General features: G+C 37.9%; 1 protein-coding gene and 1 pseudogene across 61 annotated transcripts in view, besides 1 other annotated feature; one reads left to right on the top strand and one right to left on the bottom strand.

The window, feature by feature from the left end:
- Positions 1-13,848, top strand: part of CEP63 (centrosomal protein 63) — a 296,836-nt gene that overhangs the window by 19,798 nt on the left and 263,190 nt on the right. For all 61 annotated transcript variants that reach the window (NR_148355.1, XR_007095732.1, XR_002959589.2 and 58 more), the window contains 1 exon segment: positions 1,588-1,765. Coding sequence is in view for 48 of the 61 variants with exons in the window: in NM_001353113.1 (NP_001340042.1) it covers positions 1,588-1,765 (178 nt within the window). In the remaining 13 variants the exon portion in view is untranslated.
- DPPA4P2 (DPPA4 pseudogene 2) lies at positions 4,808-5,903 on the bottom strand (annotated as a pseudogene).
- Positions 6,117-6,176: an enhancer, noted in NCBI's record as "active region_20565". NCBI's record gives its function as "activates an Ori minimal core promoter by ATAC-STARR-seq in GM12878 lymphoblastoid cells {active_cell/tissue: GM12878}" and the evidence as "EXISTENCE:reporter gene assay evidence [ECO:0000049][PMID:35858748]".

The following is a 13,848-nucleotide window of genomic DNA, read 5'->3' on the forward strand; positions in this document are numbered from 1 at the left end:
CTTGTCCTCAGGCTCCCAGATGGCATGCACAGGCACTGATAGTAGCAGGCAGGGCAGATCAATCCCCAGGCCCGTGGGTGACATGCACAGGCACCAGTGGTGGCAGTAGTGGGTGAGGCAGGCCTCTCCAAGGTCCCTGGATGATGTCCATAGGTGCTGGCAGTGATCACGGTAGGTTGATTCTAAGTCACCTAGTGGTGGCAGGAGGGGCTAGGCTGATCACCAGTGCCTCAGACAATGTGCCTGGTAGTAGTGATGGGCACAGCAGGCCTGTCCTCAGGTCCCTAAGTGGTGTGTGTGGACTCCCAGTGGTAAGTTTTCTTTTAACCTTAAGCTTCTCACTGCAGTTTAAAAAACTTATCTGAGTTGTGCCTCTGACCATATTGTGCTTTGGGTACAGAAGCAAAAGTGTTGAGCAAAAGCTAAGTTGATCCATGTCATGGTCACAGCATTTTGGGGGGACTTTTTTTGGGTTGTTTGCCTCATCACAGCAGTGTGAAGCTAGTTGTTTGCCTACATCCTATCTTGAGTTTTCTACTCTTAAGAAGCAAAAGTACAAAGGTTCTGTCACACTAAGAACAGGTGCTTTTTGAAAGTATTTAAGCCTTACTGAGAGCTGTCTTGTGGCCATTTCTGGAAACCTCTTTGAATCTAATATATCTGTGTCCACTTCTGTTTCTCAGCAATATCTGGCATCTCCTGAAATGCCAGGACATCAGTAGGTTTACAATAGTAAGGTAGACTACAGTAAGTTTCTGACAGAAAGGTGGGCAGAAATAGTTGAAATAAATCTGGCTGAAGGATGAATTTCTTGAAGCAGCTCTTACAATTGTATTATCACTTTCCTGCATGATAGTCTGCTTTCTTCCAAGGCTTTTTCCTTTAGCTAGATGAAAATGTGATGTATAGGCTTGTCTGGATCCTTCCTGAAAGCTTCCTTAATATGTTACAGAGGCGCTTGTTGGCTGTAGCAGCCTGGCTCCACAAACCAGACTTAAAACATCAATCTTGTGCTTAACCAAACAACTTGGGCTTTAGGTTGGCTATGAGAGGAAGATAAGATATTCTGTGGAATAAGTAATCATCTTAATATGAGCATTAAAAGTAAAAGCTCAGGCCGGGCACGGTGGCTCACACCTGTAATCCCAGCACTTTGGGAGGCTGAGGCTGGCCAGATCACCTGAGGTCAGGAGTTCAAAACCAGCCTGGCCTACATGGCAAAACCCCATCTCTACTAAAAATAAAAATTAGCCGGGCATGGTGGCGCATGCCTGTAATCCCAGCTACTCGGGAGGCTGAGGCAGGAGAATTGCTTGAACCCGAGACGTGGAGGTTGCAGTGAGCCATGATCATGCCACTGCACTCCAGCCTGGGCAACAAGAATGAAACTCCATCTCAAAAAAAAAAAAAAAAAAAAAAAAAGCTCAGCAATCCTATTCTTTGCTTCTGGTAATTTATTAATTTACATTAATGTCATTTAATTATTTACTTCAGGTAGATTTACATCTGCTATATTTTTACATGAAAAAGATGAAAAGCCACTTGAACATATCTTCTGTTTTTTTAATGATCTGTTCTTCTTTATAGGGGATTTTTGACATCTTGTGAAGCAGAACTACAGGAGCTCATGAAACAGATTGACATAATGGTGGCTCATAAAAAATCTGAATGGGAAGGACGTACACATGCTCTAGAAACTTGCTTGAAAATCCGTGAACAGGAACTTAAGAGTCTTAGGAGTCAGTTGGATGTGACACATAAGGAGGTAAAGCAATTTATTTGTTCTTCTTTTTGACATTTTTATCTTGTCTTTTATATTAAATGTGTTTCTTAAGTATTTGTTGAAGAAAGAATTTGTATACCAAGTTAGTTTATTGTTTTTTATTATAATTCTGCTGTTTTATTTTAGAAGAAAAATTCATTGTGAAAATGTATAAGAATGTTATCATTTATTTCAAGGATCATTTTACCTTGGTTACATATAATATATACATAACTTCTTTAAGAAAATGTAAAAGGGTACCACACATTGTTTGTTTAACCTTCATCATATTACATGTTTATATTAACATTCACTGAGTTTCATGGAAATTGCTTTTGGCTTCACTGTATGGCTGGTATTACAAAAGAAGTTCCAGATTAAAGAATTTGCCTCTTTTGGTTAGATTTAAAACAAAGTTAAGAGAATCTTTAAAAAAAAACAAAACAAAACACGTTTACCATGTTGAAAATTAGAGGAGAAGAAAGAAAAGAAGAAAATAAAAATTACTTGCAGTCCCACCACTCATTGATATTGGTAATTTGGGGGAAAAGTTTAATAATATTTGCTGGTTGCCTTCTCATAAATTTAGCTGGTAAATTAGGAGGAAGTACACAGAATATTGGAAGGGAAGTAGAAAGCATTTATGTGTGAGAGTTGCCTGTTAATTTTTGGTATGGATGTCAATCTCAGAAGGATTGGAAGAGTTAGAGTTATAGGGGAGCACTGGTCCCATTTCTCACTCTGAAGACCTTTTCTACCAGTAGGGTCACCATTCATTAAGGCTGTCATCAGCTTATTCAGGTACACTTCTGTGAGTGGTACACACTGAGATTGTGATTTTGTTGAGAAAACTTATTAAGAATAGTTTAGAAATGTTTCTCGTAACAAAGAGTTTGACTTGTTAAAAATGTTATTATGCTTACCCAGAAAATTTCTCCTTGGTTGGCCATTTGCAACTTGGGTCAAAGTAGTGCGTGGCAACACTGGCTGTATCAAAGTTTTCTGCTAATGCTGTTTGCTAAATTGCAATTAATTTAAAATTTGACTAAAACTTTGAGAATATATTTTAAAATTACACACCATGCGAAAATACAGAAGGTGATGCAAAAGTACAGTGAATGGTGATCTTGTTTGATTTTTTAAAAATCATAATTTAGGCAGGGTCAATGTTCCTTTTATGGTAGGCTACTTAGCTAGCACTTTGTTTCTCCTAGGGCAAAACAAAATTCTGTTTAGCAAGTTGAAATGAAAGTGGTTTTCTGGTTGATAAATAGATTGTTTATTTTGTTAGAAACTCATTAAAGAATTATGTGTGATTATGATAATATTTAGTCACTGTAATGCTAAATTTGAACTTATTCCTGTGGCTTAGTTTTGACGCCACGGGCATTGTTGCCGTTACTTAATGCCCTTGACATCAAAATTTCTCTCAAAGAGAAATTAAGAGAGATTTAAGGGATTAAATGGATAGATTCCATGGTAAGGATATGAAGATGTTAAGTTTGGCCTGGGGACATACAAGAAATTTAGAATTGCAGCTCTCTGGTTAATTTGCTACTTCATTGATTGGGCTGCTGAAAGTTGATTAAGTTTCTAGAAGTAGGTTTCTGAAGATAATCTAGTAATGGGAATCTATTCCATAGAATTTGTGTGTGAGATTGTGTTGTATTACAACACTTCTTTCTTGCTTTTTTTTTTTTTAAGGAACAAATGTGTTTATTATTGTGCTGAAAAATTATGACCACCAACAACCAATGAAGGGCAGGAAGGAACAACACTATGAGATCATGAAAATATTTTGCTTCTTGTATTAGTCTGTTCTCACATTGTGATAAAGAAATCTGAGGCTGGGTAATTTATAAAGGAAAGAGGTTTAATTGGCTCACAGTTCTGTAGAAACATAGTTGCTTCTGGGGAGGCCCCAGGAAACTTTCAGTTATGGCGGAAGGCAAAGGGAAAGCAGGCCTATCTTCACGTGGTGGAGCAGGAGAGAGAGAGTGAAGTGGGAGGTGCTACACACTTCTAAACAACCAGATCTCAGGAAAACTCACTACAACGAGAACAGCACCAGTGGGGACATCTGCCCCCATGATCCAGTCACTTCCCACTAGGCCCCACTTCTAACATTGGGGATTATAGTTCCACATGAGATTTGAGCAGGGACACAGACCCAAACCATATCACTTGTCAACAAACTTTCTTCTCTTGCTTTAACATTTTTGACGATTCTTTCCCAAACCTATTAAGTAATGATGATGGTTACAAATTTTCCAGTTCTACCACTCTTTCCAGTGCATTATTTTTTATATCTTCATTAAAGGAGCAAAGCAAATCCCCTACTTGTAATAATAAGACAATATTGGAGACTGCCATTAAAACACAGGAGAAGTAAAAAAACAGATCTGTTCCAAGACACACAGGACTATAAATTTAGGAAATACACAGAAAATTAAAAGTTAAACTCAATTGGATACATTAAATATGTGCAGCTTTTTGTATGTCAATCATACCTAAATAATGTCATTTTGAAAACAAATGGTCCAACCTGTACCACCAACAGGTTTTGAGTATATATAAATCTAATATGTATTTATGAGTAGGGAGCAACCTTAAACATTTTAAACAGCAGAAATACACAAAGCAATTATAGGTGGAAGTAATACAAAGTGCCTTGTGTTTCTATCCTAGAATCAAACTATAGAAGTCTCAGGTTATTAAGAAAACAAATATTGTTTTGAATATTAAAAATCATGTGTTTTGGAGAGGGAGAGAATTAACAGCCTTTCTCTGCCTTAGAATACTTTACATTTTGTGAAATTTACAATCAGAATGGAGCATCTCCTAAAGTTGTCAGTATGCTAGGGAGGGAAATTGAGCACAGGAGCAAACCACTGTTTTCTTAGTGCTCAGCTGAAGAAATTTTCACTTAAAAGAGCTGTAGCTGTTGAAGTCATTTCCATTTTAGAAGCGTACTATAAATGACTTTTTCTATGTATTAACTAGAATTAATGGTAATTTGTGAAATGTTTTATCATTTTTAAAATTAGAGTCTATATCTCAGCCAGTGAAGCAGCAGGCACTGCTGCATGTCATAGTCTAACACCTGCAATCCACCAGTCTGCATGGACTGTAAGCAGGTATGGAGAGAACCGGAGTTCACCTATCAGCAACACCACCATGGAATCGACTGTTGAGCCTTTCTACTATTAATTACCATATATGTGCCTTTTTTCTGGTATTTTATTCCCACTGGATGCTTTTTATTAAGACCTTGTACCTGTGAACACATTTGGGGCACAACTTACTGTCTTCAAGGTGCAGGGGTGGGAAATTGGGAGGCGGGAAGCAAGAAGAGTGCACTCACTCTCCCTTCTTGCATTTCTGGAGCCCAGGCTTGTCTAGCATGAAACTGGAGGTGAACCCAACCATCTGTATCTGCAGGGAGACTTCTCCCATGGTCTTCTCTTGTGGAGATTCCTCTGCCTCTGGTGTCCCACCCTGGCTGCAGTTCTGGCCCTGGAGGCCAGCAAAGCACCTGGGGTAGAAGTTTTCTTACAGCTGTATTAACTCCTTCAAGGAGAGCAGCAGACTCTTCCAAGGCAGGCAGCACCCCCCCAAGAGGGAAGAGCCATCTCAGGAGGATGTCTCCTCAGAACTTTTCAGGGACGTTTACCCCTTGTCCACCTTTGATTTTTTTTTTTTGTAATGATTTCTGAATTCTGGCCTCTTTTGCTGTGCTACGAATGTCCTTTTATTTTGGGTAGGTGAAGGCACACGGGTGCTTATGTGCATCTAATTTCTGGCCTTTGGTGCTCAGCTTTAATTGTTGGCACCAGGCACACAGAATGTCCTGGCGAATCAGGTTAATGGGTAGCAGTTTAGAGGGTAATGGAGGGATTGATATCTTCTTCTGAGGTTTTAGGTTGTTGTCACTGAACTCTGCCTTCCTCTTTGGGCAGAGCACTTTGTCACCTTTTCATTTGGTCCCCTTTGCTGATGTTCCTGGCAAAGCAATTGTGCTTGGTTAATTAGAAGTTTACTAATCCTCTTCCCTTGACTTCTCTGTGGATTTCCACTCTTTGCCTTTTTGACTTCTCCATACTCGGAAAAGAAGTGGAGGTTGACGAAATTTTTCCAGAATCAAAATACTTCTTTCAAGTATGTGTTATAACACATTCATAATCCAATTTGAGCAGTATATGAAATAAGAACTAGAAAATAGGGCTTTATGTTTTTGTCATTGTATTAGTTCATTCTCTCATTGCAATAAGGAACTACCTGAGACAGGGTAAGCTATGCAGAAAAGAGGTTTAATTGACTCACAGTTCCACAGGCTGTACAGGAAGCATGGCTGGTGAGGCCTCAGGAAACTTAATCATGGCAGAAAGTGAAGAGGAAGCAGGCACATTTTCACATGGCGGAGGAGGAGACGGAGCAAAGGGGGAAGTGCTACATACCTTTAAAGAACCAGATCTCATGAGAATTCACTATCACAAGAACAGCAAGGGGGAAGTCTGCCCCCATGAGCCAGTCACCTCCCACCAGGCCCCTTCTCCAACATTGAAGACTACAGTTCAACATGAGATTTGGGTAGGGACACAGCCAAACCACATCAGTCATTCTTACTTGTTTGAAAGGTACAGACCTAGAAGCACTTAGTCCTAGGGTGTAAACCACTGCTAATCAAATGACAGGTCCATGATGAGATTAAAAGCTTGCACCAGAATGTAAATCATTGTAGAGAGCAAAACCCCTCATCTTTCATAGTACCAAGTCATTAAACAGCTAAAACTGTTAACAGCTAAAATCAGTGTATATCCATCTTTTGCTGAGAAAATTTTGGTTGTAAGAATGTCTGTTACACTGAACGGTGTGTTTCAAGACATACTTGATTTACACTCTGCCTCAGGCTTCTTGTGCTGGATTGCTGTCTGTGAATAACTTCAGCCCACCTGCAAATCATACTTGGTGGATCACTAATATAAGCAACTTGTTTTGTAAGTTAAGGCTTTATGTGTTTCTGGTTACAGTGTTGGCACTGGGTTGGTTTTAATGGACATTCCTGCTGTTACTATCTTCTAGCTCCCTACAGGGCACGTTGACTTTGTGAAATGAGTAAGAAATTTAGAGTCCTGGCCCTGCCTCTTTTCAGCTGAATGGCCTTGGACAAGTAACTTCCATCATTATTAGCATTTAATGTTCCTAAACTTTTCTTCACCTTTATATTTATACTTGTCACAGTAAATAAAAAGAAAAATGATTCTACAAGGCTCATAAGAAAAAATAGTAATCTTCCCCACCCCTCTGAACCTAGGATTCTTACTTCTGTGAGGAGTAATTTCAAGCCTTTAACTCTTTCTTTTGGCATTTTCCCTATGTTTCCAAGGAAGCTTTTTTACTGCTGTATTTTCATTTATAGTTTTAGCTGTTTAATGACTTGGTACTATGAAAGATGTGGGGTTTTGCTCTCTTACATACAATTATCATCCCCTCATCCTTCCAGGAGTGTATATCTTAATTTTTTGTTAGATTAATATTCAGTATTTACATCATTAAATGGTAAATATTATTCACAGTTGAGTCAGGTAGTGTAATTATAAGCAGACTTGTTTTTTGTACTGCTTTTTTGTTTTCCTGGAAATTACTAATTGTCTCACTTTCATTTGGTTTTTTAAACATACCTACCATTGATTCTTTCTGAAATCTCTGACACAGGTGTAAATCTTCTGCCATTGTGTTTAAACAAGGCAATTAATCTGTCCATTTTCTTTTCTTTCATTTCTTTTCCCTGTGAAGACATCTCTCCTGGAGCTTGCCATTCTCCACCGTGGATAGGTTGCTTTCAAGGATAGGTGTATAGCTGTCATCATGAGAACTCCCTTCATCATTATTCTGGAGGTTTTCTGTGCTCCTCTATTTGTGCTTCTTTGCATTCTCTGTCACCATATTTATATGTTTACATTTCTATTTTGATAGAGCATAGTTTTGAGATCTTGTATATCTGAAAATAATCTTTATTCTATTTTCAGGCCTGATTGAAAGTTTGACTGGCTGTAGAAATCAGCTTTAGAAGTAAATTTCCCTCAGGACGTTTACAGTTAAATATGAATTATTTCAGACTTTAATATTTGATAATGGCAGATTAGGTAATTTGGGCCAGTCCACTCACCGAGGACAAATAGGTAAGTTAGATTTAAAAAAAATTTTGCTTGAAGTAAAATGCTATCAGGATGGTGAACAATTACCAGGCTGGGATCTGGGCTGGGCAAGCGGTTCAGGGAGGTGTGTCCAGGGTTTGGGGCCATTATTAACTGAAAATAAAGAAGGCAGCCGAGAGGATAAAAGGTTGAGTGGTGTTTTTGATAACTTTAAGGGGCTAGGGGTCCATGATGGCTCTGAACGCCTCCTCAGTTTGGCTAAAGACCCTGAAAGGCTGCACCCTAGGAGTAAGGATGGACCAGAACAGGCCCTCTTGAAAAAACCACTCAGCTTCAAACATCTAAATCCCTGAAATCAGTTTTAAGTTAAACTTAAGAGTGCTACTGTCCCCAGGCATCTCCAAAGTGCTAGGGCTTCCAGGAACCTGGAAGTAGCAAATATAAATTTTCTTCAAAGGAAAAATTACCATTCTGGGTTTCAGATTATTCAAATAATTTTGCAAATAATGCTTGGTACTTGCTCAGAAAATAACCTGAGACAACAAAGACCAGGAGACAAGACAACACAAAGGAAAAATAGTAGAAGCAGCAGAAGATAGAAATAGACCCATGATAAATCTAGATATTTGTCATTATCATGCACACAGTTTACAATAACAATGTTTATTGCATTCAAGGCACTAAAAGATAAGATTGAGCATTTCGAAAAAGAATTAAAAACTGTAAAAAAAATGAGTGGAAATTTTAGAATTGAAAAATAGAATGACTGAAATTAAGGTCTTAAAGATTAAGGGATAATTAGTGAACTAGATGATGTGACAGAATAAAATGTCTAGAATAAAGCACAGGCAAAGTGATAGAAAATATAGATGAAAGGATATGAGAAAGAGAAGACAACAAGAAAGTCTAATATAAGTGTTTTTGGAATCCCTGAAGGAGAAAAAAAATGAGAATGGGCACAAAAGATATTTGGAGAGATACTGGCTGAGATTTTGCCAAAAGTGAGGAAGGTCAAGTATTTAAGAAGTCCAAGAATCTCAAGCAAGATAAGTAAAAAGAAACAGTTGCCATGGTTGAAAACTAAAGACAAAGGGAGGAATCTGAAAAGCAATCAAAGAAAAAAAAGATTATCTACAAATAGCTCTTAACAGTTGACTTGTCAGCCAAAAAAGTGAAAGCCAGAAAACAATAAAATGTCTACAAAGAAAGAACATGACTTTTTCCTCTACCAAACGAGAATTCTGTATCCAGAATAAAGGTAAAATAAAGACATTTTCAGATGAACAAAAATTGAGAGAACTGGTTACAAGCAGACCTGCACTAAGGAAATATTAAAAAATGTTCTTTAGGTAGAAAGACAGTGATCCCAGATTGACCCTCAGAGCTGCAGGAAGAAATGAAAAGCAGTAGTAAATGTATGGGTAAATCTAAATGAATATTGATTGTATAAAACAACAATAATAGATGGAGTTTTGCTATGTTGCCCAGGCTGGACTCGAACTCCTGGGCTTAAGCAATCCTACCTCAGCCTCCCAAGTACCTGGGACTACAGGTGCATGTCACTGTGCCCAGCTAACGGTAATTGCCTTTTGAGTTTAACGTATATGTAAAATTATGGTGGCAATGGTGTTATATTTAAGTCAGGTTGGGATAAATGGAATTGAAGTATTTATAGCTAACATTAGACCTTGTTAAGTCACAAATCCATGTTTTTATCTTGAGGGAACCATTAAAAGTATATATTAGTAGAGAATATCTTCCATGCTAATAGAGAAAAATGGAATGATAAAAAAAGTAATCAGTCCCAAAGAAGGCAAAAAAGAAGAGAAAAAGGAACAGAGCTTATTAAGTACAAATATTATGTAACAAGATGAAAGCTTTAAATCAAAATAGGTTTGTTAAATGTAAATGCAGTAACTGGCTTAATTAAAAGAAAAACTGTCCAACTGGATCAGATAAACAAATGCAATTATTATTTAATGTTTATAGAAATATAAAAACATTGAAATTAAAAGGTAAAATATATAACATGCAAACAGTTTGACTAGAAAGATGGTATAACTATATTCTTACCAGAAAAAGTATGATTGGAGCAGAAGCCGAAAGCATTACTCAAGGTGAAGAAAAACACTTCATAATGAGAAAATGTGAAATTTCAGGATATGTAACTTTAGTAGACATTCTTTGTGCCCTGTAGTATGTCCTCTTTGCCTCCTGATTTCCTTTTAGCTATTAAATATAGGTCCTTATGCGCTGCCAACATCTACTATAACAGGAGTTTCCAATCTTTTGGCTTCCCTGGGCCAGATTGGAAGAAGAATTGTTTTGGGCCACACATAAAATACACTAACACTAATGCTGGCTGATAAGCTTAAAAAAAAAATCTTGTAATGTTTTAAGGAAGTTCACACATTTGTGTAGGGCTACCTTCAAAGCTGTATTGGGCCACATATGGCCTGTGGCTTACAGGTTGGACAAGCTTGTAGTATACTTTGTTTGAAGGGGTGGGTTGCCCCTCCACACCTGTGGGTGTTTCTCGTTAGGTGGAATGAGAGACTTGGAAAAGAAAGAGACACAAAGTGTAGAGAAAGAAAAAAGGGGGCCCAGGGGACCGGCGTTCAGCATATGGAGGATCCCGCTGGCCTCTGAGTTCCCTTAGTATTTATTGATCATTCTTGGGTGTTTCTCGGAGAGGGGGATGTGGCAGGGTCATAGGATAATAGTGGAGAGAAGGTCAGCAGACAAACATGTGAACAAAGGTCTCTGCATCATGAACAAGGTAAATAATTAAGTGCTGTGCTTTAGATATGCATACACATAAACATCTCAGTGCCTTAAAGAGCAGTGTTGCTGCCTGCATGTCCCACCTCCAGCCCTGAGGTGGTTTTCCCCTATCTCAGTTGATGGAACATACAATCGGGTTTTATACCGAGACATTCCATTGTCCAGGGATGGGCAGGAGACAGATGCCTTCCTCTTGTCTCAACTGCAAAGAGGTGTTCCTTCCTCTTTTACTAATCCTCCTCAGCACAGACCCTTTACGGGTGTCGGGCTGGGGGACGGTCAGGTCTTACCCTTCCCATGAGGCCGAATTTCAGACTATCACATGGGGAGAAACCTTGGACAATACCTGGCTTTCCTAGGCAGAGGTCCCTGCGGCATTTGTGTCCCTGGGTACTTGAGATTAGGGAGTGGTGATGACTCTTAAGGAGCATGCTACCTTCAAGCATTTGTTTAACAAAACACATCTTGCACAGCCCTTAATCCATTTAACCCTGAGTTGACACAGCACATGTTTCAGGGAGCACAGGGTTGGGGGTAAGGTTACAGATTAACAGCATCTCAAGGCAGAAGAATTTTTCTTAGTACAGAACAAAATGGAGTCTCTTATTTCTACTTCTTTCTGCACAGACACAGTAACAATCTGATCTCTCTTTCCTTTCCCCATACTTTGTTTCTCTCTCTGGGGCCTTGGAAAGCTGCTTAGATGAAATCTGGAAGTGTTGAGGAGTTAATACTCTTAGATCTTAGGTCAAGGTTCAAGTAGTGGAGGGACTAGGTGAATTCTCCAACTTCCCATTCCTCAGAGAGACGATTCTGAAAGATTCCATCTGGTTCCTTAGTGGATTCCCAGTGGAATTCATCACCAGCTGCTTACTTCAGTAATATGCTTAATATGCTCAATAGCACGTCCTTTATTAGCTTTCCTTCCTTCTCTGCCTTGCTCTCTGTGTCCTCACTGTGCTTTCTGGGGTCACCTCCAGTTGCCCTGAAGTCCATGTCTCAGCCCACACTTTGCTGGGGGACTCAAACCAAGATGAAAATGTCTGCGTATCTAATGTGTCTAGTTAAATAGTTTTAAAAGAAAATCCTCTTTCTGTCTTATCTGTATGTGAAAAGTGACAGAACTAGGAAAAAACAGATGAAGCCACAATCATAGGGGAGAATTTTAACACATTTTTCTTAGTAACTGATGGAATAAGAGACAAACATAAGAATATAGATTTTAACAGCATGATCAGCGAACTTGACTTAATTTTTATATATAGAATATTATACAACAGAATTTCAGAGTACACATTCTTATTAGCACAAAAAATACCCTTACCAAAATTGACCATATGCTGGGCCATAAAGTAAATCTTGATACAGTTCAAAAGCTTGACGTCACAGGTGTGGTCTCTGAACATAGTGGAAATAAGTTAGAAAAAGATAACTTGAAAATCTGCATACATTTGGAAATTAGGACATGAAGTTCTGAATAATTCATGGATCAGTGAGGAAATCACAATGGAAATTAGAAAATACTTTGAATTCAAAATGAAAATACAACATCAGACATACAGAATGCAGATAAAATATCTCAGAGGGACATTTATAGCCATAAGAGCATATATTAGAAAAGAGGAAGGGCTGAAAATCATTGAGGTATTGATTCATCTCAAGAGGTTGGGAAAAGAACTTGCTAAATTTGAAGAATGTAAAAAGAAGGACATTTTTTAAAAATGAAAGTAAAAGCCTGGAAGTGATATGACATGAGAAAACTTCCAAAAGAAAACTGATGTAACTGTATTGGCATGAGACAAAGTAAACATCAAAGCCAGAAGCAATACTAAAGATCTAGGGACACTTAAAAATTATGAATGGGTCAGTTAACCAGGTTGCTTTAATAATTCAATTCTATAAATACTTAATAATGTAGCCTTAAAATATACAAAGAAAAATGGGCAGAATCAAGGGAAAAATTAAGTACATGGTAATCATGGAAGACTTAACAAGTAGCTCTCAATTAATACAACAAGCAGAGAAAACCTCAGTTCAGGTGAAGATTTGATCAAGATTAACAAACTTAACCTAGTTAATAAACTTGACCTAATTAATCTAAATAGAACATTGTACCTAGTAACTGCTGAATACACATCCAAGTGAATATGGACCATTTACCACTACTGCCGTAAAGCATGTCTCAACATATTTCAGAGGATTAGAATCATGTTTTTTGACCAAGGTGGATTTAATCTAGAACTCAGAACAATGAAAGACATCCAGAAAAAATCCTCAAAAGCTTGGAAATTAAGCAATACACTTCTAAATAACCCATGAATCAAAAGAAATCAAAATGAAAATTAGAAAATATTTTGGACTGAATAATAATGAATATGGTACGTATCAAAACTTGTGGAATGCAGCTAATGTGGTGCCTAGAATGTTAGCTATGTGTGTATACATATAGCTACATTTTATATACAGCTAAAATTATATATATTAGAAAGGCTGAAAGTGATCTAAGTAGCCATTTCAAGAAAAACAAAAAAACCCCAGCAAATTAAAACCAAAGAAATGAGAAAGAAAAGATGTAATAAAGATAAGAACAGAAACTAATAAAATAGGAAACAAATGTATAAGAGGATGAACAAAGCTATTCTCTTCGAAAAAAATTAATTAAATTGATAACCTTGGCAAGACTAATTAAGAAAAAAGGGGGGAAAATAACTAATGTTAGCAATTAAAAAGAGAAACCATAATAGAGCCTCTGAATAGTAAAGGGGTTATAAAAAGATACTATGAATGACCATGTACCCACCCCCCCACCACAGTAAAACATTTAGATATAATAAAAAATCCCTAGGAAAGCACAGCATACAAGAAAGGTTGAGACATGTGAATAGTATCCTATTAAATTGATTTTTTTTTTGTTTTGAGATGGAGTCTCACTCTGTCGCCCAGGCAGGAGTGCAGTTGCGTGATCTCAGCTCACTGCAACCTCTGCCTCCTGGGTTCAAGCGATTCTCCTGCCTCAGCCTCTCGAGTAGCTGGGTCTGCAGGTGCGCACCACCATGCCCGGCTAATTTTTGCTTTTTTTTTTTTCTTAAGTAGAAATGGGGTTTCACCATGTTGGTCAGGCTGGTCTCAAACTTCTGACCTCAG

Source organism: Homo sapiens, chromosome 3 (assembly GCF_000001405.40).
Source record: "Homo sapiens chromosome 3, GRCh38.p14 Primary Assembly".
In the NCBI taxonomy this organism is placed as follows: domain Eukaryota; kingdom Metazoa; phylum Chordata; class Mammalia; order Primates; family Hominidae; genus Homo; species Homo sapiens.